The following is a 22083-nucleotide window of genomic DNA, read 5'->3' as shown; positions in this document are numbered from 1 at the left end:
CTTTTTTTTTTTTTTTTTTTTTTTTTAATTTTTTTTCTTTTTTTAAAATTTATTATTATTATACTTTAAGTTTTAGGGTACATGTGCACAATGTGCAGGTAACACATTTCTGTTGTTTATAAAGGACCCCGTCTAAAGTTATAGCAGCTCCAGCAGACTAAGATAACGTACTGGCTCTTGGCTAGGTAAGCTGGGAGCTGTCTCTCCTTTATTGAGGTAGGAAAGACAGCAGTTCAGGGGTGGAGGAAGAGGCTGAATTCACAGTGGGACACTCTACTTGGAGTCTGAAGTTTTATAGGGCACCAAAGGGAGATGTCTGCTAAGCCACTGGGTTAATGAGGAAGAAAGTTGCTCCTGAAGAAACCCTGATTTGGGAACCTTCAGATGGCACTGCCCACGGGAAGGTGGAGCCGCTGTGGAGGAGTGGCCCCAAGTAGGTGGGGTACACACAGATGGTAGCTGAGGCCACCGGATAAGGGTGTCACCAGTGAGAGAAAGTCAAGGGGAGAGAAAGGTGCAAACACTCTTCTTTGAGAAAGGAAGAAGGTAGGCAAAGAGGAAAGAGGCCAGGAGAGAGAAGTGTCAGGGAGGCAGAGGGGAAGCTCCAAGGAGGATGTGGTCAAGAGACAGAAGCTGCAGAAGGGTCAAGAGACATGAGAGAGAAGGTCTGCAAGGGGTCCTTCTGGCTAGCAACAAAGAGCGTGTTGTAGGGCACCTACAGGGGCAGGGTTGTAGGGCACCTACAGGGGCAGGGTTGTAGGGCACCTGCAGGGGCTGGGAGCCTGGGGGACCTGGTGGAGCTGGGAGCAACTGTTGTCAACTCTTCCCAAGAGCTTGTTCCTGAAAAAGGCAATGGAAGGGAAGGAGGTATTGAAATGGCAGGTGGCAGGCCAGGCGTGGTGGCTCACGCCTGTAATCCCAGCACTTTGGGAGGCTGAGGCAGGCGAATCAGGAGATCAGGAGATGGAGACCATCCTGGCTAACACAGTGAAACCCTGTCTCTACTAAAAATACAAAAAATTAGCCAGGCGTGGTGGTGGGTGCCTGGAGTCCCAGCTACTCGGGAGGGAGGCTGAGGCAGGGGAATCGCTTGAACACAGGAGGCGGAGCTTGCAGTGAGCCGAGATTACGCCACTGCACTCCAGCCTGGGCAACAGAGCAAGACTCTGTCTCAAAAACAAACAAATAAAAAATACAAAAAGTAGCTGGGCGTGGTAGCAAACGCCTGTAGTCTTAGCTACTTAAGGGACTGAGGTGGGAGGATCACCTGAGCCTGGGATGTCGAGGCTGCAGTGAGCTGTGTTAACACCACTGGACTCCAGCCTGGCCAACAGAGTGAGTCCAAAAACACACACCCACACCCCCACACACCCACACACCAAAAAACACAAAAAAGTGGCGAGTGACAGCTGAGGAGATCACTGTAGTGGGAACCCCAGGAGGGGGTGAGGAGGGGCTCGCTGGCACAGGGGAAGGGGTGCTATAGAGAAAGACTCTGGTTTCCTTGGGGCTTTGGAGTGGCAGAGAGAGCTCAGGATGTCTGCAAATGTATAGAAATCAGAGGGTGGGAATCCCTCTGGGAGGTTTGTCCTTCCCTATGAAGGAGAAGATAGAGTAACTCTGTTGACAGGGAGGGCAGAGAAGGAGAGGTGAGGGGCCTGAGGGAAGAGGCTTGGCATAGAGGCTGGGGAGAGGGAAATGAGAGCGTTCAGGAGCTCCTGGAAGATGATCTGGGCTAGCAGCTGGGGCTGCTACCAGGGCAGCTGCTGGGAGGGCAGGGCATTTGGAGGCCCCAAATCTGCATCATCACAGATTTCTCTCCAGCAGGGCCCAACCTCCTGGATGGAGAGGCCTGGGAGGTGCAGCAGGGAAGTTGGGGATGACGTTGATCTGGGGCCCACAACACCCTCCTCCAGCAGGCTCAGGGGCCTGCAGTTGTTGGCAACGGGCTGACTCTACCTCTGGGTGAACAGGTGAAGCTTCTCGGGCTGCCTCGGGAAGACAAAGGCTGGGTTCTCTGGCTCCGGCTCCTGGGACCCTGAGACACAGATGCCTCCTCTGGGAAAGGCTCGCTAACACACTAAGCAAGGCCTGGCAAGGGAGGAAGAGCTTAGGGTCCCCCTTTGACATCTGGGGGAAAGTGTTGGGGAAGATCTGGGCAGTATCCAAAGGCCTCAGTGAACCCAAAGACAGAAGGAAGACAGAAGGAGGCTGGACTGGTAAAGGGAACTTCATAGCAGACACCCCAGGCCTTCACACTCAGCAGACCTGGAGCTCTGGAAGCTGAGGCTGTGAACTCCCTCCCGGCCAGCTGGGGTGCCCAGCCCTGCCCTGCTCGGCCTACATGGCAGGGACTCACCCTGCAGGCTTTGTGGGCTGGGTGCTGGCTGGGTCTGGCCAGCCCTACCTGCAACTCAGGGGGAGGAGCAGGGGAGACACAGGATGTCCCCAACCTCCTGACCTTCTGAAGCTTCCCTGGCATCAGCCCGGGCCCTCATCATAGCCTTCAGTGGAAGAGCCTGGAAGGGGGGCAGCTGCTTCCTGCTCAGTCCCCTCGGCTTCTCAGCAATTCTATCCCTCATGTCACCACGTCCCTGCGCTAAGCTCCCTCTTTTTTAAATACTCAATGTGATTTTTCTTGGCTAGTTGGAGCCTAACTGAGACACTTATTTCCTAGAAGCCCAGTCCTGGGAAGTGGAGTTAATCCTTGGAAGCCTGCAGACCCCCTCCAGTGGGCTGTCAGATCCTAGCATGAGTATGAGGCCCACTATGGCCTACTGGGTCTCAGGGGTCAGAAGTGCCCATGGGTGTCCCAAGTGGGTGCCTCACTACACAGGTTTCATGGGGGGCAGCCAGACCACAGCAGCAGACAGAGTTGGGCCGGGTCCATGCAGGCCCAAAGAAGCAGCCAGTGGCCACTCAAGGCAGTGGTATCCCTGCAGCTTCTTGGCTGGTGTCTGAGACTAGTCACACTCCCCACAATAATTAGAGCCATGCTCACACCTCTCACCACCATCTAGTTCTTCCTCTGCTAAAACGTGGAGCACTGTCTCCCAGCCTTGGAGCTCAGGGGCAGCAGATAATCTGAGCCAGCTGGAGCAGGTGGGGTCGCTCTTGGCTGGAACGGCCATGGAAAACCCCAACCAAAGACAGCACTTGGGAGAACATCTATGAAAATGTGAAAGTCCATACCCTTGACCCAGCTGTTCTACAGATATGATTTGTGTAAAATAACGTAAGTGAGAATATTTGCTATAGCAGTTTGTAATGGCCAAACATAGCAAAAAACCCTAACTATCCAGCAATGGTGACTAGATAAATTGTGATCCTTCCACACAAGGAATGCCATGTAGCTATTAAAAAGAATGAGGCAGCTCTACATGTGCTGATGTAGGATGAGTTACAAGATACATATAGTTAACACAAAAGAAGAGCTCAGAACAGTGTATATGATAGCGTTTGTATTAAATATAACAAATATACTTGTCTATTTGCACGTACGGCTGAATCTGGAAGGATATACAAGAGACTGCCACTGCCTTGAGACTGGGAGGCCTAGGGGACAGGAACGGGAGGGAGACCTTTTATTGTGCATCTGTTTGAATCTTTTGAATTTTGCACTATGTGTATACTTTACAATTCAATAAATACTCATGTTTTCAAAAGAAAACAAAAAAGCATTTAGAAACAAACAGGCCAGACGTGGTGGCTCACCTTTGGGAGGCTGAGGAGGGAGGATTGATATAGCTGGGGATGTCAAGGCTGCAGTGAGCCATGATCCTGCCACTGCACTCCAGCCTGGGTGACAGAGTGAGATTCTGTCTCAAAAAAAAGAAACTGGGATGACACAGCAGTGTCTTCACTTATATCCTACGCCTCCACTGCTAGCTATGCGACCCTGGACAAGTTAATTTACCTCTATGTCCCAGTTTCTGTAAAACAGTGGTAACTTTTTGGAAAGGTTATTTTGAAGAGTAAGTTAATTAATATGTAAAGAGCTGGAAGAGCGCCTGGCACTGAATCAGCATTATGAAGTGTTAGATATTGCTATTTTGCTGCCCCAGACCAACTCCAAAGCAACGCCACTTGAGCCATGCCGGCTCTCCCTGCTGCTGCTTCTACCTAAATACTTCATTCATTTAACAAATAATTTTATTTTCTTTCTTTTTTTTTTTTTTGAGATGGGGTTTCGCTCTTGTTCCTCAGGCTGGAGTTCAATGACGCGATCTCGGCTCACTGCAACCTCCGCCTCCTGGGCTCAAGCGATCCTCTCACCTCAGCCTCCCGAGTAGCTGGGACTCCAGGCGAGCGCCACCATGCCCGCTAATTATTTTTTGTGTGGAGACAGGGTCGCATTATATTACCCAGGCCGGTCTCAAGTTCCTGGACTCAAGCGATCCTCCTGCATCAGCCTCCCAAAGTACTGGGATTACAGGCATGAGCCATCGCACCCGGCCTTAACAAATGCTTTTCTTTCTGAGACGGAGTCTCGCTCTGTCGCCCAGGCTGGAGTGCAGTGGGCGATCTCGGCTCACTGCAACCTCCGCCTCCCCGGTTCATGCGCCTCGGCCTCCCAAAATGCTGGGATTGCGGATCTGAGCCACCGCGCCCGGCCTGAGGTGATTTTTAACAAGTACAGCCGTAGCTGCAGATATCCTGGTTCTGTAGGAACAATGAGGTATGGATGGATCCATAGCTGGACCTATGGATGGGATGGATCCCCGGCAGGCCCTGGACGGAGGGAAATGCTCTGGTTTGCTAAGCCCGGCATCGAGTGAGACCCACCCACAAAGCTAACCGTGGAAGTCACTGGCGGCCTCCTTCGCCCTGCCGCCGGGGAACCCTGCCGGTGGCTCTCGACCTGCTCCCGGGCCATCTGGTGACACTGACTTCGCAGCCACCACCTTAATTGGCGCATTCGACCCAAATAATAACCAGGGAACCTGTGGGCGGTCAAAGGCCCGGCTCTGCGGTCGGCCCTCCCAGGCCCCTCTCCCTGCCCTGTGAGGCCAGAAAGTTACTTCTCCGAGGCCGTTCCCCATGTCGAGAAATATCTCCCGCTTGAGGTTCTGTGGGGTAGGGGAGGTTCGTGCATTTCTCACAGAAAACCTCGCACAGACCCGCGACTGCCTTTATTAACAGCTCTCAGGAGACTGCCTGCAGCCGGGGGGTGCCTCCGGCCCCATGCTCGCGGGCAAGCAGGGATAAGCTGTGCCTCCAAAAGGGCCAACGGGAACTCCGCGGTCCCTGAACTTCCGGTGCTGGCGGACTCCTCGCTCCAGGGCCACCAGGAGCCGCGGCGTGAGTGCGTGCCGGGACCGAGCGCGGGGTCTCTGAGGAACTCCAAGGCTGCCCAAGCCTACGGACCCAGCCACATTGGCGAACCGGAGACCGCCCGATTCCACCACCCCCGCGCTCCCCTCACAGCCGGCGCCAAAAACGCCAGTCCCACGACGCAGGCCGGGACCCGCGCGCCCACGGCCCAATCAGCGCGGACCTTGCACAAAGCGAGCCCCGCCCCCACGGCGCCGTTGCCAGCCCCTCCCCCTCCCGTGGCCGCCTCGGCCCGCCTACTCCCCGCCCCGCGCCGTTCACGGTTAGAGGCTCGCGATTGGCTCATGGGGACGGCCGCGAGCTTTGGTTGGTCGGCGCGGAGTCACGAGGGCGCCGTCGTCGCCTTTCCACAGGCGATTACTGGGCAGGCTCAGTCTTTCGCCTCAGTCTCGAGCTCTCGCTGGCCTTCGGGTGTACGTGCTCCGGGATCTTCAGCACCCGCGGCCGCCATCGCCGTCGCTTGGCTTCTTCTGGACTCATCTGCGCCACTTGTCCGCTTCACACTCCGCCGCCATCATGGTGAAGCTCGCGAAGGTAAACGGCCTTGAGCGCGAGCGCAGACGTGTAGGCCTGCTTTCCGAGGGGCGAGCGCGGCGCCGCGGGGAGGAGGGCCTGCGCGCAGTCCCGGGCGCGTTCTAGGGCGCCATGCTGCGGGAAGTCTCGCGCGATTAGTGGGGAGGTCTCGCGGCTTCTGGCTACTTGGTGGCGAGGTGAAGAGCTTCTGCAGGTGCTGGGGGCGGCGAACGCGGCGGGAAAGACAGAGTCACTGAGCGCGGGGAGGGGGCGCTGGGCCTCGGGGTGGAGAGATGAGACCAAACTTTTGCGACGCGTACGAGCTGGGACTCGACTCCTGACGCACGTGCCCGGGAGCGCGGCCTGCCACGTGGGCCGCGCCGCGTGGGTCCTGGAATCTCCAGAGGGACCGGGTGCCTTGGGCCGGGAAATGGCGGTATCGGCCCTAGTCGGAGTCCCGGCTGCGCTCGGATGTCTCCGCCCCGGCCTGGCAAGCCGACACGTGGTGGGCCCCGGAAGGTGGCTCTGCCGCGTGCCTTTTGCGCTGTGTTTCGGGCACGTGGTGGCCTACCAGGTACCCCCACGTGGCCGCGCCGCCTCTTTAAGGGGCGGGGTTGTCTCGCTGGGAAAGGCATAAGCTTCATGAGAAAATCAAGGTAGTCATTTTTTTAAGTGCCTTAATGATCTTCACCGTTAATTTGGATTCAGATGAGGGTGGTAGAATAAAGTACCGGGATTTGTAGTATTAAAACACGGTTGTGCTTAACTAAGGTAACGGGAGGAGAAATCATTTCCTCAGGTTGACTTTTTACCTTAGGGCAGGTTTTCTGTTGGTAAAGCCTGGGAGGAAAAATGTGGGCGGTTGAGAGTAGTCCCTCTTGCATTGCCATCAGGAGTAGTTTCTATGTTAGTTGTGGTGTTTGGCACTATGAGAAATGGATCTGAGGACGGAGATGATGGCGTATGAACACTAATGGCAAAATATGAATGGCCTGAAATGTCGAGGTGGAGGTGTAATGATCTATTTGTGTCCATTTTAGGCAGGTAAAAATCAAGGTGACCCCAAGAAAATGGCTCCTCCTCCAAAGGAGGTAGAAGAAGATAGTGAAGATGAGGAAATGTCAGAAGATGAAGAAGATGATAGCAGTGGAGAAGAGGTAATTTTATCCAACTTAATGCAGAATTATGTTAAAACTACAAAATGGAGAGTTAAGACATGAAATTGGATATCTGTGGCAAAAATAAGATTTTATTCAGGTATGTCTTATTGTAGTGGTTGAGTGTTTCACAAGCTCTTCATTGACATGTCAAGATGTCATTTGGCTAAGTATTTGAATGTGAGTGTAAGACGAGATCTGGGAATTTCTTTTACATGTTCCTCTGCAGGGCTTGGAGTGTGATTTGTTGTGTTAAATCATTACATTTTTCCAGTTTCAACATGTTAGCCTCACCCCCACATGTAGAGCTGGGCATTGTATTCAGAGCTGAGGATAACCTTACCAGATTCCTTTCCTAGCCTCCAATTAAAATTAATTGGTCTCCATTCCATTATATATAAACTTTGTAATACTACTCACTGTGTTTTATAGTTATCTCTGGTGTAGACTGAGGGCTGCCACCTCTCTTTGTGTTACCATTGACCCTCTTTAGCACTCCTGGCCTTTTATTTGCTCACTATAAAGACAGCTGAGCACTGAATTGTGCTCAGGTTTCTCGTTGAGAACTGAATGAAAGTTTTACTCTTCCACACATTGCCTGATAAAACTACGGGATTTTAATGTAGCTAAATGATGACTTTTATCAAACTACCATGCACACTCTTTGATGTGTGATAGTTTTGTAAGGAATATTTATATTTAGCCTATTCATTTTTTGTCTCAGGTCCTAAGAATTGAGCTTCACTGGGCTTGGTACCGCCACCCACTGTAGGAGCCCCAAATGATTTAATAAGTTAATGCTTGGAGCCTCCTATGTGTAAGGTTCTGAATAATTTACACATAGCAATTCATGATCCTTAAACATGTAAGGATGATACTATTACCATTTTCAGATGAGAAAGTTGGGGCTTGGGAAAGTATGAGGTGTAAGAATTCAGAGGGTCTGGTTCAGAGGTATTTTTAAGTGTTCAAAAGAGTTCCTTATGTCTGGGTATTCACCTTATGATAGGGGCTCTGACTTAAGACAACATAACAGAAGCCTGGAGTTTAACATGCTAATGTGTCTAGTGCATGTGGTCTTGAACCAGAGGCATTGCCAGAGTCTAACATCTCATTGGGACCATGGTTATCTTTTTGGGTGTGGGGCTGGACTTACTGGTTTGGTTTTCATTTATTCTCAAGGTCGTCATACCTCAGAAGAAAGGCAAGAAGGCTGCTGCAACCTCAGCAAAGAAGGTGGTCGTTTCCCCAACAAAAAAGGTTGCAGTTGCCACACCAGCCAAGAAAGCAGCTGTCACTCCAGGCAAAAAGGCAGCAGCAACACCTGCCAAGAAGACAGTTACACCAGCCAAAGCAGTTACCACACCTGGCAAGAAGGGAGCCACACCAGGCAAAGCATTGGTAGCAACTCCTGGTAAGAAGGGTGCTGCCATCCCAGCCAAGGGGGCAAAGAATGGCAAGAATGCCAAGAAGGAAGACAGTGATGAAGAGGAGGATGATGACAGTGAGGAGGATGAGGAGGATGACGAGGACGAGGATGAGGATGAAGATGAAATTGAACCAGCAGCGATGAAAGCAGCAGCTGCTGCCCCTGCCTCAGAGGATGAGGACGATGAGGATGACGAAGATGATGAGGATGACGATGACGATGAGGAAGATGGTAAGGAGTTGTCTTGGTAGTTACTGGGCTTCTGATTACAAGGTATCTTGAGATTCTGGGATCAACATATTCCTTCCACGACAACCTGGAGATGAGATTAGAATCCTTGTGGGAATTCTCTGGGTTGTTGTGGTGTGCTAGACTTAATTACCCATGAATGATTTTTGTGCCTCTTGAGAAAATTTCAATAGCACATTCTATTAGTGTTTTTTATAATGTAGGATTTTGTTTCTAAGTGATTTTTTTTTTTTTTAAATTTTTTTGAGATGGAGCTTTTGCTGTTTCCCAGGCTGGAGTGCAATGGCGCGCTATCTCGGCTCACTGCAGCCTCCATCTCCTGGGTTCAAGCAGTTCTGCCTCAGCCTCCCGAGTAGCTGGGATTACAGGTGCCCACCACCACACCCTACTAATTTTTGTATTTTTAGTAGAGACGACATTTCACCATGTTGGCCAGGCTGGTCTCGAACTTTTGACCTCAGGTGATCCACCCACCTTGGTCTCCCAAAGTGCTAGGATTACAGGCGTGAGCCACTGCGCCCGGCCCCAAGTGATCTATTCTTGCCATGACTGTTAACTAAACATGGTGACAGGATTGCATTTTCTTTACATTAGATTTGAAAACCGATGTTGGTTTTGGGAGATTGCTGCAATTTTTAGGTGACTTCTCTTTCAGACTCTGAAGAAGAAGCTATGGAGACTACACCAGCCAAAGGAAAGAAAGCTGCAAAAGTTGTTCCTGTGAAAGCCAAGAACGTGGCTGAGGATGAAGATGAAGAAGAGGATGATGAGGACGAGGATGACGACGACGACGAAGATGATGAAGATGATGATGATGAAGATGATGAGGAGGAGGAAGAAGAGGAGGAGGAAGGTACTTAAATTAGATTCTGACATACGACATGAGTTATGTTTAAAGGAGGCACTTAAGTGTTTGTGGCTACTGATGTGTGATACATTGTTTGACATCTTGTCCAGAGCCTGTCAAAGAAGCACCTGGAAAACGAAAGAAGGAAATGGCCAAACAGAAAGCAGCTCCTGAAGCCAAGAAACAGAAAGTGGAAGGTAACTTGCAGAATTAGGGGATATGGGGGAGATAAACAGCACAAATGATGAATAACAAAGGGACTTAATACTGAAACCTGATGTTACATTGTAGTGTGCTGATGTGCTGTGTATAGAAATTTTGCTTTGGAAACTAACTTTTTACCACACTACAAGTAGACTGAGTTGAGCTTTTTTTGTGCAGGCACAGAACCGACTACGGCTTTCAATCTCTTTGTTGGAAACCTAAACTTTAACAAATCTGCTCCTGAATTAAAAACTGGTATCAGCGATGTTTTTGCTAAAAATGATCTTGCTGTTGTGGATGTCAGAATTGGTATGACTAGGTAAGTGCTTCACTGCACGTTACATACACGTGGGTCTGTTAATGCTTTTCCTTCCCCTGTTAGCACAGTTACTTTAGCCTGCTACTGTTAAACATGAATACTGTAAACATCTTCAAGGATTAGCATTAGTGAACTAAGTTAGAATTAAACTGTAGATCCCCTAAGTTGCAATTTCCATAATCAGTCGTAACTTGGTATAGCACAGAATAATTTTTAGTAAGTTTTTTTGTTGTTTTTGTTATGTATTGAGACGGACGCTGGCTTTTGCTCAGGCTGGAGTACAGTGGCGCAATCTTGGCTCACTGCAACCTCTGCCTCCCGGGTTCAAGCGATTCTCCTGCCTAAGCCTCCCAAGTAGCTGGGATTACGGGTGCACTTCACCATGCCTGGCTAATTTTTGTATTTTTAGTTGAGATGGCATTTCACCATGTTGGTCAGGCTGGTTTTGAACTCCTGACCTCAAGTGATCCACCCACCTCGGCCTCTCGAAGTGCTGGGATTACAGGCGTGAGCCACCCTGCCAGTAAGTTTTAATAATTTGGTGTTAGGTGGGAGAATCGCTTGAACCTGGGAGGCAGAGGTTGCAGTGAGCCAAGTTCGCGCCACTGTACTCCAGCCTGGGCAACAGATTGAGACACCGTCTCAATTTAAAATAATGTTTATTTTCTTGGAAGTACCTGAAACTATTAGACCTGTCTAGTCATCATAGTGAATACTTTTATCCAGACAGGATTCTCCTGTATTAGTGCTTATAGGTGTTCTTTTGTCAGCTGCTACTGTGAATTCTTATAAGCAATTTAGCTCCATGATGAAGACCTCAAACGTGAATGTGCATGTCATATCTTCATGCTGAGACCTTGTTCTGTAGCTGCAGTTTGCAGAGCCTTGACTTTGTTTTGCTAATACTAGGGGTGCTTTTTAAAATGTGATCTTTGTTTGCACCATCACATTTGTCTAGAATACATATTGTGGATTTTGATTTGTGTTTTCACCTGTTGTAATTTTGCCCTCCTCTCCACCTTGAAGGAAATTTGGTTATGTGGATTTTGAATCTGCTGAAGACCTGGAGAAAGCGTTGGAACTCACTGGTTTGAAAGTCTTTGGCAATGAAATTAAACTAGAGAAACCAAAAGGAAAAGACAGTAAGAAAGGTATGTAAGGCTTTATGAGATTATGCAATGAACTCAGGAGCTAGACTGCTAGGGAAAATGCTTTGTAACCCATTTCCCTTGGTTTCCTCTTATTTTTTTAAATCATTTTTTTCCTTTGGTTTCCTCTTAATGTGGGAATTAAATGAGCTACAGTGTTTACAAGAGTACTTGGCACTGCTTGTCAGTGTTATAGTGTAAATTCCTGAGTTAGGCAAGCAAGAGCACTTTTATACAGAACAAGAATTATTAGATGCACCTAAATTAACGTAAAGGGATCTTTCTTCACTGAAACTAGATTAGGTCCCTAATTACTCCCTATATACAGTTGTAATGTTTTGAATTGGTACATTCACTTTTTTTGTTATGCGCGTCTACTCTAGGTTGAACTCCAGTGTACCTAACAGAGAGTTTGACATCAGCTGTGACAACATGGAGGGACCACTTGTGTGTTGACACTGCTATATCTCCATATTTAGCACCGAGCCTTGTACATTATAGGATCTCAAATTATTTGTTGAATAGAGCTATGTGTGTTTTTCCCCTCTTTTTGTTGTTGCCCCCCACCTTTGGTTTTTCAGGCCACAGAGCTCATTTTTGTTTTTTTAATCTAGAGCGAGATGCGAGAACACTTTTGGCTAAAAATCTCCCTTACAAAGTCACTCAGGATGAATTGAAAGAAGTGTTTGAAGATGCTGCGGAGATCAGATTAGTCAGCAAGGATGGGAAAAGTAAAGGGTATGTTCTGTCTATTGAAATGTAAGGGTTTTATTAACATTAATGCACTTTCCTGCTTTATAAAAGAAATATTGGTTTGATTTCCTTAGGCGTGTAATCTTGGACAGTTTAACCTGTAAGTTTGTGCCTCAGTAACCCATCTGTACCATGGGGATAATGTACTCATAGGGTGATTTTAAAAGACAAGCTAATACTTACAAAGAAGCAAGAAATGTGCCTATCTTACAATAAATACTTTGTAAGTAGTAGCAGTTCTTTCAGTGAGGTGAGGTTACTATGAAAAAATTCCAAGTATTTGTAAAACTAGTGGGAAGTAAGAGGGAAGCTCGAGTTTTGATTGAAAAGTGGCATAAAACTAAGGGCATTTATTGTACTCAGATCTGAAGCAAGTTCTGTGTTGCTGAGGTAAAAGCATTTGTGTTAATATGGTTTTAAAAACCATGAGTTCTTCTCCCTCCATTGCAGGATTGCTTATATTGAATTTAAGACAGAAGCTGATGCAGAGAAAACCTTTGAAGAAAAGCAGGGAACAGAGATCGATGGGCGATCTATTTCCCTGTACTATACTGGAGAGAAAGGTCAAAATCAAGACTATAGAGGTGGAAAGAATAGCACTTGGAGTGGTAAGAAATTAGGCTTGTTACAAGGTTTCAGAATTGGTGGAGGGAACTCCTTTGTGTCTTTGTATTTCATAAGTTTATAAATACTTTTTAATCAAAGTTACTCAAATGTAGGTGAAGATCAAGGACATGATACCCCAAGTCATACTCTTATTTGGAATAGTAATTTCCAATCTTGAATGAGAGCTCTAAAATCATTTTGCATTGGAATACAGTAGGCAAATCAAGCTTCCTTTGTAGGCATGTTTTATACTTTAAATGACTTGACCATGTGCGTTTTGAACTCAGATGATTCTAGGAAAACAGACCAGTCATCAGCCTATGTAAGAACAACCAGCAGGACATTGCAACACGTACTAGGTACTTAATATGTTGAGTAACAGAAATGGATTTAGCTTACGTCATGAGTATTTGTATATTAACTCAAGCACTGAAATTCTTAGGAATAAGATATTACTGTTGTGACCGAAGCTGGGAACCACTGTTTCAGAGTCTTAGGAATGTGGCATCTCTATTTGCAGGTGAATCAAAAACTCTGGTTTTAAGCAACCTCTCCTACAGTGCAACAGAAGAAACTCTTCAGGAAGTATTTGAGAAAGCAACTTTTATCAAAGTACCCCAGAACCAAAATGGCAAATCTAAAGGGTAAGATAATACCTTTGTATCATCAGTTATAGGCTATATATGTCTTAGAGGTCTAAAGGAACGTAAGGTCATGTGATCCTGTCAGAAAAGCCAAATAATTTTAGCTACGTAAATGAGTGTAAAATAAAGATCATCATTTAGGTACCAACTTGAGAGAAGGGGCTTGGCAGCATCATGTGACAGTGAAGGAGCATGTGCCTGGTAACTTACTCTAAGCATTAACTGTTCATCCTCAGGTATGCATTTATAGAGTTTGCTTCATTCGAAGACGCTAAAGAAGCTTTAAATTCCTGTAATAAAAGGGAAATTGAGGGCAGAGCAATCAGGCTGGAGTTGCAAGGACCCAGGGGATCACCTAATGCCAGAAGCCGTAAGTTCACCTGGTTAGGGTGCTGTGGTTGGGGGTAGCACTCTCGGTGCTTTGTTTATTTTTTGCACAAATTCTGTGTTTCCTGTTGCTACTGAGTGAACAATAACTGGATATGATGACTGATTACCTGAGAAATAATTGATGAAATCTCAAGAAAATTCCTCTAGATAGTCAAGTTCTGATCCAGCTGTGTCAACTCAGAGTAGCAAGTTTGCCCATGATTTCCTGCCCCATCCACTGGGCCCCACCTGCTTGGGTTGCTTCTCCCACTTTCCATAGAAGATCTGGGGCAGGATATCAACTATGCAATGGCAATTAAAAAATGTAAACCCAGAATAGCCTTTACTTTAATTAAGGACTAGTTGGCTTAGTTGCTTTTAACTGCTTTTTCACTATAACAAGTATTCTTGGCTAGTAGTCATACTAGGCATTGTGCAAATTCAGTGTTACGAACTGTGACTTCACATAAAGTCACATTTTTTTTTCCTTCCCAGAGCCATCCAAAACTCTGTTTGTCAAAGGCCTGTCTGAGGATACCACTGAAGAGACATTAAAGGAGTCATTTGACGGCTCCGTTCGGGCAAGGATAGTTACTGACCGGGAAACTGGGTCCTCCAAAGGGTAAGGGAAGGAAGCGTGAGTGCTGCTTCCACTTGAAGGGGTTTTTGTTCTGTGCAGACCTTGAGTCTAATGTGTCTTCTCATTGAGCTCCTTTCTGTCTATCAGTGGCAGTTTATGGATTCGCACGAGAAGAAGAGAGAATTCACAGAACTAGCATTATTTTACCTTCTGTCTTTACAGAGGTATATTTAGCTGTATTGTGAGACATTCTGGGGTTCAAGCTGTCACACCAGTTAGTTTTCCATAGAGAGCTACTCTGTCACTGGTATCTTTTCCCAAATAAACAAGGCTACTTTCTGTGGGATGGCTCCCCAGCATGTACAGTTAACTTGGGACATGTGTAGTAGGTGCTTTTTATAATGGGCAATTTCATTTGGTGTTCTAGGTTTGGTTTTGTAGACTTCAACAGTGAGGAGGATGCCAAAGCTGCCAAGGAGGCCATGGAAGACGGTGAAATTGATGGAAATAAAGTTACCTTGGACTGGGCCAAACCTAAGGGTGAAGGTGGCTTCGGGGGTCGTGGTGGAGGCAGAGGCGGCTTTGGAGGACGAGGTGGTGGTAGAGGAGGCCGAGGAGGATTTGGTGGCAGAGGCCGGGGAGGCTTTGGAGGTAAGGCACGCAGAGATAATGACACCACATAGCATGTGCTCTTCAGACCCTGTGCCCTGTCACGGTTCCTAATCACTGGGGAGGAGGAGCTTTGTACCCATTCTTTTAACAGTGTCTTGCCTTCCTCCTGTAGGGCGAGGAGGCTTCCGAGGAGGCAGAGGAGGAGGAGGTGACCACAAGCCACAAGGAAAGAAGACGAAGTTTGAATAGCTTCTGTCCCTCTGCTTTCCCTTTTCCATTTGAAAGAAAGGACTCTGGGGTTTTTACTGTTACCTGATCAATGACAGAGCCTTCTGAGGACATTCCAAGACAGTATACAGTCCTGTGGTCTCCTTGGAAATCCGTCTAGTTAACATTTCAAGGGCAATACCGTGTTGGTTTTGACTGGATATTCATATAAACTTTTTAAAGAGTTGAGTGATAGAGCTAACCCTTATCTGTAAGTTTTGAATTTATATTGTTTCATCCCATGTACAAAACCATTTTTTCCTACAAATAGTTTGGGTTTTGTTGTTGTTTCTTTTTTTTGTTTTGTTTTTGTTTTTTTTTTTTTTGCGTTCGTGGGGTTGTAAAAGAAAAGAAAGCAGAATGTTTTATCATGGTTTTTGCTTCAGCGGCTTTAGGACAAATTAAAAGTCAACTCTGGTGCCAGACGTGTTACTTCCTAAAGAGTGTTTCCCCTGGAATGTCACTGGAGAGCATGGCAAAGCCAGCTCTGCCACTTGCTTCACCCATCCCAATGGAAATGGCTTAGTGCGTGTTTCCAGTATCCCAGCCCTAACTAACTTGGTTGAAATGCTGGTGAGGGGACCTGCTCCTGCAGCCCTGGTGCTGACTTGAAGGCTGCTGCAGCTTCTCCTACTTTTAGCAGGTCTGAGGATTATGTCCTGAAGACCACTCTGGAAAGAGGTGCAGGAACAGATTAGTCAGGTTTCCTAGGACAAGGAAGAGCTTCAGGGAAGAGCAGTGGCTAACTCCTGTAATCCCAACACTTGGGGAGGCCGAGGCAGGCAGATCAACTGAGGTCAGGAGTTGAAGACCAGCCTGGCCAACATGGTGAAAGCCCATCTCTACTAAAAATACAAAAATTAGCTGGGCATGGTGGTGTACTCCTGTAGTCCCAGCTACTCAGGAGGCTGAAGCGGGAGAGTCACGTGAACCCGGGAAGCAGAGTGAGCTGAGCACACACTACTATACTCCAGGCTGGGTAACAAAGCGAGACTCCCATCTCCCAAAAAGCAGTTCTGGAATAGAACTCACGCTAGATGGATAGACCAGTGGACACTTTGGAACCTTGGGGCTGGGGAGGAAACTGCCCATCCAGTAAACCCCCAAAAAGCCATTTGTTCTGCACTACGTATATTGCTTATTCTTTCTGGTCTTAAGTACTTGCCTCTCAACCTCCCTTTTTAGTAAAAGACAAGGCCACGTGAGAGGCGGGACTATCAACATTGTGATGAATTTACTTGAAACCCAGTGCCCAAAATCAATGTAGGTAGCCAAGTCCAAAAACCTGTTCTAGTCCAACTAGTGAAATCAAACTGTGATACTTGGATAAGCTTAGAAGGAAACGTGAAGAATACGTAGCTGCTTTGGGTTTACTCTGGTTCAGTTGGGCTGTTGAAATCTTAACATCCTTGGGCTTATCACCTACTGCTTGTCAGCCCTGTTCCATGTCCAGGGGATGGGGGTGGTGACAATCCAGTTCCAAGACCCTCATGCTCTAGAGAGGAAGGTGGCCAGCCAGGGTTGTAACTACGATGAAAAAGCAGTGGGAGGGTCTCCTATGAGGCAAGCCTAAGGACAAAAAGGAAGGCCTTGCAGCCTGTATTCTGGATAAGGAATTAAAAGCTCAGTTAATTGAAGCCCATCAGGCGTGTTGTGGATTAGGTCTGTTAGCTCTTAAATTGCAGCAAAACACATAGTATGAACATAAGTATGAATTTATCTCCAGTGGCTTTCAAGAAAGATCCCGTGAGGCCGGGCACCGTGGGTCATACCTGTAATCCCAACACCTTGGGAAGCCTGGGTGTGGAGATGGCTTGAGACCAGCCTAGACAACAGTGAGACTCCCATCTCTACAAGAAAAATTAGGTGGCCGTGATGGCATAAGCCTGCAGTTCTCAGGAAGCTGAGGTGGGAGGATTGCTTGAGCCCGACACTGCACTCCAGCCTGGGTGACAAACAGCTTGAAAAACCTTGTGACTTGGTGTCTAGGTCTTCTGGAATCTATGAAATGATGCCTCCAGGGCTCTCCTCGGTTCCCTGCAGCCTTCATCCAGGTGAGAATGTGCTGCAGCTGGTTTCTTTGGGAGGCCTGTGGGTTAAAGTAAGCGATAGTCTATATGCCGTGTGGCCATCTACGAATAAGGGCTGGGATTGCTGGTGGCTCTGGTGCAGCACAGTCACTGCTTTTTCCATACTTGGAGAGCCTATGGGAGTGCGATTTTGATAGGGCTTGAATTGCAGGAAGAGCCCATGGCTCCCAAGGTGGGGCTTGCATTTCTATCAAGTAGCTGTTAATAATGGGGCAGTTGCTGGGCAACTGTGTGCTCAGCAGCTGGGCTTTTCCCTCAGCCCCTCTACTAACCTGCTGTGAGGCAAGACAAGGGCAGGACACTAACGTTCCTGTCTCCTGATTCTTTTTCTTTACCATTCCTTAAGAGAAGGAAAGCAGAGACGGTCCAGTCCTGTGATTTCTCAGTGCTTGTTCTAATCATATGTGCTGATTTCCTGTTGAATGAAGATGAAGGCCGGGTGCGGTGGCTCAGGCCTGTAAGCCCAGCACTTTGGGAGGCCAAGGTGGGTGGATCACCTGAGGTTTGGAGTTTGAGACCAGCCTGGCCAACATGGTGAAACCCCATCTCTACTAAAAATACAAAAATTAGCTGGGCATGGTAAGTGGGCGCCTGTAATCCCAGCTACTTGAGAGGCTGAGGCAGGAGAATTGCTTGAACCCAGGAGGCAGAGGCTGCAGTGAGCCGAGATCGCGCCATCGCACTCCAGCCTGGGCGACAACACTGTCTCAAAAAAAAAAAAAAAAAAAAAGATGTAAGGTGGGTTACCCTGCAGGGCCAGAAAGAGACATTGAGGCTTGCGATTAGGGACTGAAGTCAAATTCCCAGTCTTCCCTAGTACCTGTCTCTAGTTTCTGATTTGGAGGTGTTTGGAGCCATTTTAGAAAAGTGATAGTTTTCTTCTGCAAATGGTTGTCGCCACATTTGTCATGTTTCCAGCAGGTGGCAGCATAAGTCCACAAGGATGTGGAAACCTCTGCCGGAGGGAGGCCTGGTGATGAGCTGATGGCAGGCCTTCTAACTCCAAACTCAGCCTCAGATTCCAGACCAGTGGATAGGCCCAGGGAGTCTCCCACCTTGAGTGATGCTGCACAACCCCTGCAAAAGGGGTTTCCAATTGGATCCTACAGCTAAGATTATTTGGAAGCATGTCCTGTGCCCTTTCTCTGAGAGTTACCCCGTTATCTTTGTGTGTCTCACTGTCTCTCATCAGGCTTAAAAAAAATACCAAAGCTTTTCTCACCCCAAAAGACTGTCTCCTGACCTGCCACCTCACACAGTTGTCTCTTCCCTTCATTGCCAAACTTTCAGGATGAGCATACTCTAGCCTTCTCGAAGTGTGGCTTCTGTCCCCCTTCCCCCAGGTGCCAAAGCCAGGAGTCAGCCTTCCCTAGGTTCACCTACTTCCCTGCAGCATCTAACAGACTATCCCTCCTTCCTGCCGAAACTACTCCTCCACCGCTAAGAATTTAGGCAGTAGGGCCAGGCATGGTGGCTCACGCCTGTAATCCCAGCACTTTGGGAGGCCAAGGTGGGTGGATGACCTGAAGTCAGGAGTTCGAGACCAGCCTGACCAACATGGCAAAACCCTGTCTCTACTAAAAATACAAAAATTAGCCAGGTGTGGTGGCAGGCGCCAATAATCTCAGCTACTCCAGAGGCTGAGGCATGAGAATCACTTGAACCTAGGAGGTTGAAGTAAGCCGAGATTGTGCCACTGCACTCCAGCCTGGGCAACAGAGCAAGACTCTGTCTCAAAAAAAAAAAAAAAAAAAAGGGGGCCGGGTGCAGTGGCTCACGCCTGTAATCCCAGCACTTTGGGAGTCCGAGGCGGGCGAATCACGAGGTCAGGAGATGGAGACCATCCTGGCTAACACGGTGAAACCCCATCTCTACTAAAAATACAAAAAATTAGCTGGGCGTGGTGGCGGGCGCCTGTAGTCCCAGCTGCTTGGGAGGCTAAGGCAGGAGAATGGCGTGAACCCAGGAGGCGGAGCTTGCAGTGAGCTGAGATCGCGCCACTGCACTCTAGCCTGGGAGGCAGACAGAGCGAGACTCTATTTCAAAAAAAAAAAAAAAAAAAAAAAAAGGGAATTTAGGCAGTGACCTAGCACTGTGGGAGGCTGAGGTGGGAAGACAGCATGAGCTCAGGAGTTAGAGACCAGTCTGAGCAACATAGCCGGACACGTGTCTCTACCAAAAAAAAAAAAAGAAAAAAAGAACTTAGACACACTAAGGGTTGAAGTGGAGAGGAAGGAAAAGAACAAATCCTCAAGGATTGCAGCCATTTAAAAGCCCAGTTCCATCCAATTCATAGATGGGAACAAATGGCTGTCCCCACTGATCAGGTCACCAACCCAGTAATGGGGGGAGTAAGAGGCCAGGAGGGTTACCCTATTTCTGATCCCCGTACATGGAAACATGAAAAGAAATGCATGCTCCCTCTGACAGGGGGGACTTTGTTTTGTTCACTGTGCTGTTCCGAGCCTAGAAGAGAGGCTAACACATAGTAGGTGCTCAGCAAGTTTCCCAGGGGAAACACCTTCCCCCCAACTTACTGTAAGGTCAGGTAGCAACAGGAAGGGATCATTAGGCCAGGAGTTTTATTTTTAAAGATACTTTTAGGCCGGGCGCGGTGGCTCACACCTGTAATCCCAGGACTTTGGGAGGCCGAGGCGGGTGGATCACGAGGTCAGGAGATCGAGACCATCCTGGCCAACACAGTGAAACCCCGTCTCTACTAAAAATACAAAAAATTAGCTGGGCGTGGTGGCGGGCGCCTGTAGTCCCAGCTGCTCGGGAGGCTGAGGCAGGAGAAATGGCATGAACCCAGGAGGCGGAGGTTGCAGTGAGCCGAGATCACGCCACTGCACTCCAGCCTGGGCAACAGAGCAAGACTCCGTCTCAAAAATAAATAAATAAATAAAGATAAAGATACTTTTATTTTTAAAATTTTTTATTTTTTTACATATAAGGTCTCACTCTGTGGCCCAGGCTGGAGTGCAGTGGCACAATCATGGCTCACTGCAGCCTTGGCCTCCCGAGCTCAAGCAATCCTCCTACCTCAGTCTCTCGAGTAGCTTAGTGGTGGGGATTACATATGTGCACCACCACGCCTGGCTAATTAAAAAAAAAAAAATGTTTTTATAGAGACAGTGTCTCACTGCATTACCCAGGCTGGTCTCAAACTTCTGGGCTCAAGCAGTCCTCCCGTCTTGGCCTCCCCAAGTGTTAGGATTACAGGTGTGAGCCACTGCACCTGGCCAACATATTTTTAAAGTTATTTTTACTTTATTATTTTTTAAAATGAGATGAGGTCTCACTTTGTTGCCCAGGCTAGAGTACAAAGATGTTATCATAGCACAGTACGGCCTTGAACTCCTGGGCTCAAGTGATCCCACTTTAGCCTCCCCAATAGCTGACTACAGGCACATACCACTGCATCCAGTTTAAATTCTTAATGTTTTTGTACCAAGGATTCTTTTGGGAGTCTGGTGAAGCCTTTGAACCCTTTTCAGAATAATATTTTCTAAATCACTTTAAAATATAAAAGGAATACAAGGGAGACCAATTATATTGAAATTAGTTATTAAAATATTTGAGCACAACTTATGTGATAGAATTATAGATATGTTCATTAATGGATTAGGTAAGATTTATTTACATTGAAAACACAGGTAGTTTGGTTCTGGTAGTGATGAAGTGGCTTATAACAGAGTAATCCTTCTGTTGATGACAATTATAAACTCTGGTTAGGCCAGACAGGTGGCTTATACCTGTAATCCTAGCACTTTGGGAGGCCAAGATCTGCGGATTGCTTGAGCCCCCGAGTTTGATACCAGCCTGGGTAACATGGTGAAACTCTGTCTCTACAAAAAATACAAAAATTAGCCAGGCGGGCCTGGCGCAGTGGCTCACACCTGTAATCCCAGCACTTTGGGAGGCCAAGGCGGGCGGATTACCTGAGGTCAGGAGTTCAAGACGAACCTGGTCAACATGGTGAAACCTCACCTCTACTAAAAATACAAAAATTAACCGGGCATGGTGGCGTATGCTTGTAGGCCCAGTTACTCGGGAAGCCGAGGCAGGAGAATCGCTGGAACCTGGGAGGCAGAGGTTGCAGTGAGCCTAGATTGCACCACTGTACTCCAGCCTGGGCAACAGAGCAAGACCTTATATATATAAAAAAAAAAAAAAAAAAAAAAATTAGCCAGGCATGGTGTCACGCTCTTATAGTCCCAGCTACTAGGGAGACTAAAGTGGGAGGATCACCTGAGCCACTGGGGAGGTTGAGGCTGCAGTGAGCTGTGATTGCACCACTACGCTCTAGCCTGGGCAACAGAGGGAGGCCTGTCTCAAAAAAAACAAAACAAAAAAACTCTGGGTAAACTATTTATTTATTTTATTTTTAGTTTTTTATTTTTTAATTTTTATTTTTGAAGATGGAGTCTCTCTCTGTCACCCAGGCTGAAGTGCAGTGGCACAATCTCAGCTCACGGCAACCTCTACCGCCCAGGTTCAAGCAATTCTCCTACCTCAGCCTCCTGAGTAGCTGGGACTACAGGCATGTGCCACCACGCCTGGCTAATTTTTTGTACTTTTAGTAGAGACAAGGTCTTATCATGCTGGCGAGTCTGTCTCAAACTCCTGACCTCAGGTGATTCGCCTGCCTCAGCCTCCCAAAGTGCTGGGATTACAGGCATTAACCATCGCACCAGGCCCTGGGCGAAATATTTAAAGATCAACTTCTAAAGTTGATTTGTCTTCCAATAATACCAGATAGAAAACTGGAGCAACCCAGGGAAGATGGTATCGATCCTGGAAAGAAGGGAAGCACACTGGATGAGACCCATGTTTAACCAGCTTTTCCCCTGAGGGCATCACCCAACTTGCGTGACTCCGGGGGAATAGAGCAGAAAGTGGATGTCTTACTGTGCTGAGGAATCAGGTTGGAGTGTGAGTCGGAAATTTTGGGAAATAATG

General features: G+C 47.6%; 1 protein-coding gene and 3 non-coding genes across 4 annotated transcripts, besides 10 other annotated features; all 4 read left to right on the top strand.

The window, feature by feature from the left end:
- Positions 5166 to 5265: an enhancer, noted in NCBI's record as "active region_17287". NCBI's record gives its function as "activates an Ori minimal core promoter by ATAC-STARR-seq in GM12878 lymphoblastoid cells {active_cell/tissue: GM12878}" and the evidence as "EXISTENCE:reporter gene assay evidence [ECO:0000049][PMID:35858748]".
- Positions 5311 to 5980: an enhancer, noted in NCBI's record as "NANOG-H3K27ac-H3K4me1 hESC enhancer chr2:232328935-232329604 (GRCh37/hg19 assembly coordinates)". NCBI's record gives its function as "activates a minimal SCP1, AML or CMV promoter by ChIP-STARR-seq in primed H9 embryonic stem cells {active_cell/tissue: H9 hESC(primed)}" and the evidence as "EXISTENCE:reporter gene assay evidence [ECO:0000049][PMID:30033119]".
- Positions 5396 to 5745: a silencer, noted in NCBI's record as "silent region_12427". NCBI's record gives its function as "represses an Ori minimal core promoter by ATAC-STARR-seq in GM12878 lymphoblastoid cells {active_cell/tissue: GM12878}" and the evidence as "EXISTENCE:reporter gene assay evidence [ECO:0000049][PMID:35858748]".
- On the top strand, positions 5720 to 16673 carry NCL (nucleolin). Its single transcript, NM_005381.3, has 14 exons — positions 5720 to 5868; positions 6888 to 7004; positions 8187 to 8664; positions 9338 to 9535; positions 9640 to 9726; positions 9911 to 10052; positions 11079 to 11203; positions 11815 to 11938; positions 12404 to 12561; positions 13080 to 13203; positions 13440 to 13573; positions 14068 to 14194; positions 14580 to 14803; positions 14937 to 16673. The coding sequence occupies exons 1-14, from the start codon at positions 5851 to 5853 to the stop codon at positions 15011 to 15013; spliced, it is 2133 nt and encodes a 710-aa protein (NP_005372.2). The 5' UTR covers positions 5720 to 5850; the 3' UTR covers positions 15014 to 16673.
- Positions 5776 to 5965: an enhancer, noted in NCBI's record as "active region_17286". NCBI's record gives its function as "activates an Ori minimal core promoter by ATAC-STARR-seq in GM12878 lymphoblastoid cells {active_cell/tissue: GM12878}" and the evidence as "EXISTENCE:reporter gene assay evidence [ECO:0000049][PMID:35858748]".
- Positions 5981 to 6652: an enhancer, noted in NCBI's record as "NANOG-H3K27ac-H3K4me1 hESC enhancer chr2:232328263-232328934 (GRCh37/hg19 assembly coordinates)". NCBI's record gives its function as "activates a minimal SCP1, AML or CMV promoter by ChIP-STARR-seq in primed H9 embryonic stem cells {active_cell/tissue: H9 hESC(primed)}" and the evidence as "EXISTENCE:reporter gene assay evidence [ECO:0000049][PMID:30033119]".
- Positions 6026 to 6075: an enhancer, noted in NCBI's record as "active region_17285". NCBI's record gives its function as "activates an Ori minimal core promoter by ATAC-STARR-seq in GM12878 lymphoblastoid cells {active_cell/tissue: GM12878}" and the evidence as "EXISTENCE:reporter gene assay evidence [ECO:0000049][PMID:35858748]".
- Positions 6092 to 6461: a silencer, noted in NCBI's record as "fragment chr2:232328454-232328823 (GRCh37/hg19 assembly coordinates)". NCBI's record gives its function as "represses an EF-1alpha promoter that drives an FKBP-Casp9 reporter gene in an ReSE screen in HepG2 liver carcinoma cells {active_cell/tissue: HepG2}" and the evidence as "EXISTENCE:reporter gene assay evidence [ECO:0000049][PMID:32094911]".
- SNORD82 (small nucleolar RNA, C/D box 82) lies at positions 9762 to 9836 on the top strand. Its single transcript, NR_004398.1, is given in 1 exon segment — positions 9762 to 9836. It is a non-coding gene; the product is annotated as a small nucleolar RNA, C/D box 82 (small nucleolar RNA).
- Positions 13681 to 13760, top strand: SNORD20 (small nucleolar RNA, C/D box 20). Its single transcript, NR_002908.1, has one exon. It is a non-coding gene; the product is annotated as a small nucleolar RNA, C/D box 20 (small nucleolar RNA).
- SNORA75 (small nucleolar RNA, H/ACA box 75) lies at positions 14268 to 14404 on the top strand. Its single transcript, NR_002921.1, has one exon. It is a non-coding gene; the product is annotated as a small nucleolar RNA, H/ACA box 75 (small nucleolar RNA).
- Positions 14792 to 15086: a silencer, noted in NCBI's record as "tiled region #11632; K562 Repressive non-DNase unmatched - State 17:Gen3'". NCBI's record gives its function as "represses a minimal TATA promoter and a strong SV40 promoter by Sharpr-MPRA in K562 cells {active_cell/tissue: K562}" and the evidence as "EXISTENCE:reporter gene assay evidence [ECO:0000049][PMID:27701403]".
- Positions 17273 to 17502: an enhancer, noted in NCBI's record as "active region_17284". NCBI's record gives its function as "activates an Ori minimal core promoter by ATAC-STARR-seq in GM12878 lymphoblastoid cells {active_cell/tissue: GM12878}" and the evidence as "EXISTENCE:reporter gene assay evidence [ECO:0000049][PMID:35858748]".
- Positions 17912 to 18206: an enhancer, noted in NCBI's record as "tiled region #5541; K562 Activating DNase matched - State 12:CtcfO". NCBI's record gives its function as "activates a minimal TATA promoter and a strong SV40 promoter by Sharpr-MPRA in K562 cells {active_cell/tissue: K562}" and the evidence as "EXISTENCE:reporter gene assay evidence [ECO:0000049][PMID:27701403]".

The sequence above is a fragment of the Homo sapiens genome, chromosome 2 (assembly GCF_000001405.40).
Source record: "Homo sapiens chromosome 2, GRCh38.p14 Primary Assembly".
Lineage (NCBI taxonomy): Eukaryota > Metazoa > Chordata > Mammalia > Primates > Hominidae > Homo > Homo sapiens.
The sequence above is the reverse complement of the archived record's forward strand: the minus strand, read 5'-3'. Positions and strand labels throughout refer to the sequence as shown.

What these genes read in the sequence shown, in the direction of transcription:
- NCL (NM_005381.3), top strand. An exon ending in GGAAGAAGAGGAGGAGGAAG is followed by an intron (nt 9,536 to 9,639) that starts GTACTTAAATTA and finishes CATCTTGTCCAG; the next exon opens with AGCCTGTCAAAGAAGCACCT. An exon ending in CAAAATGGCAAATCTAAAGG is followed by an intron (nt 13,204 to 13,439) that starts GTAAGATAATAC and finishes GTTCATCCTCAG; the next exon opens with GTATGCATTTATAGAGTTTG.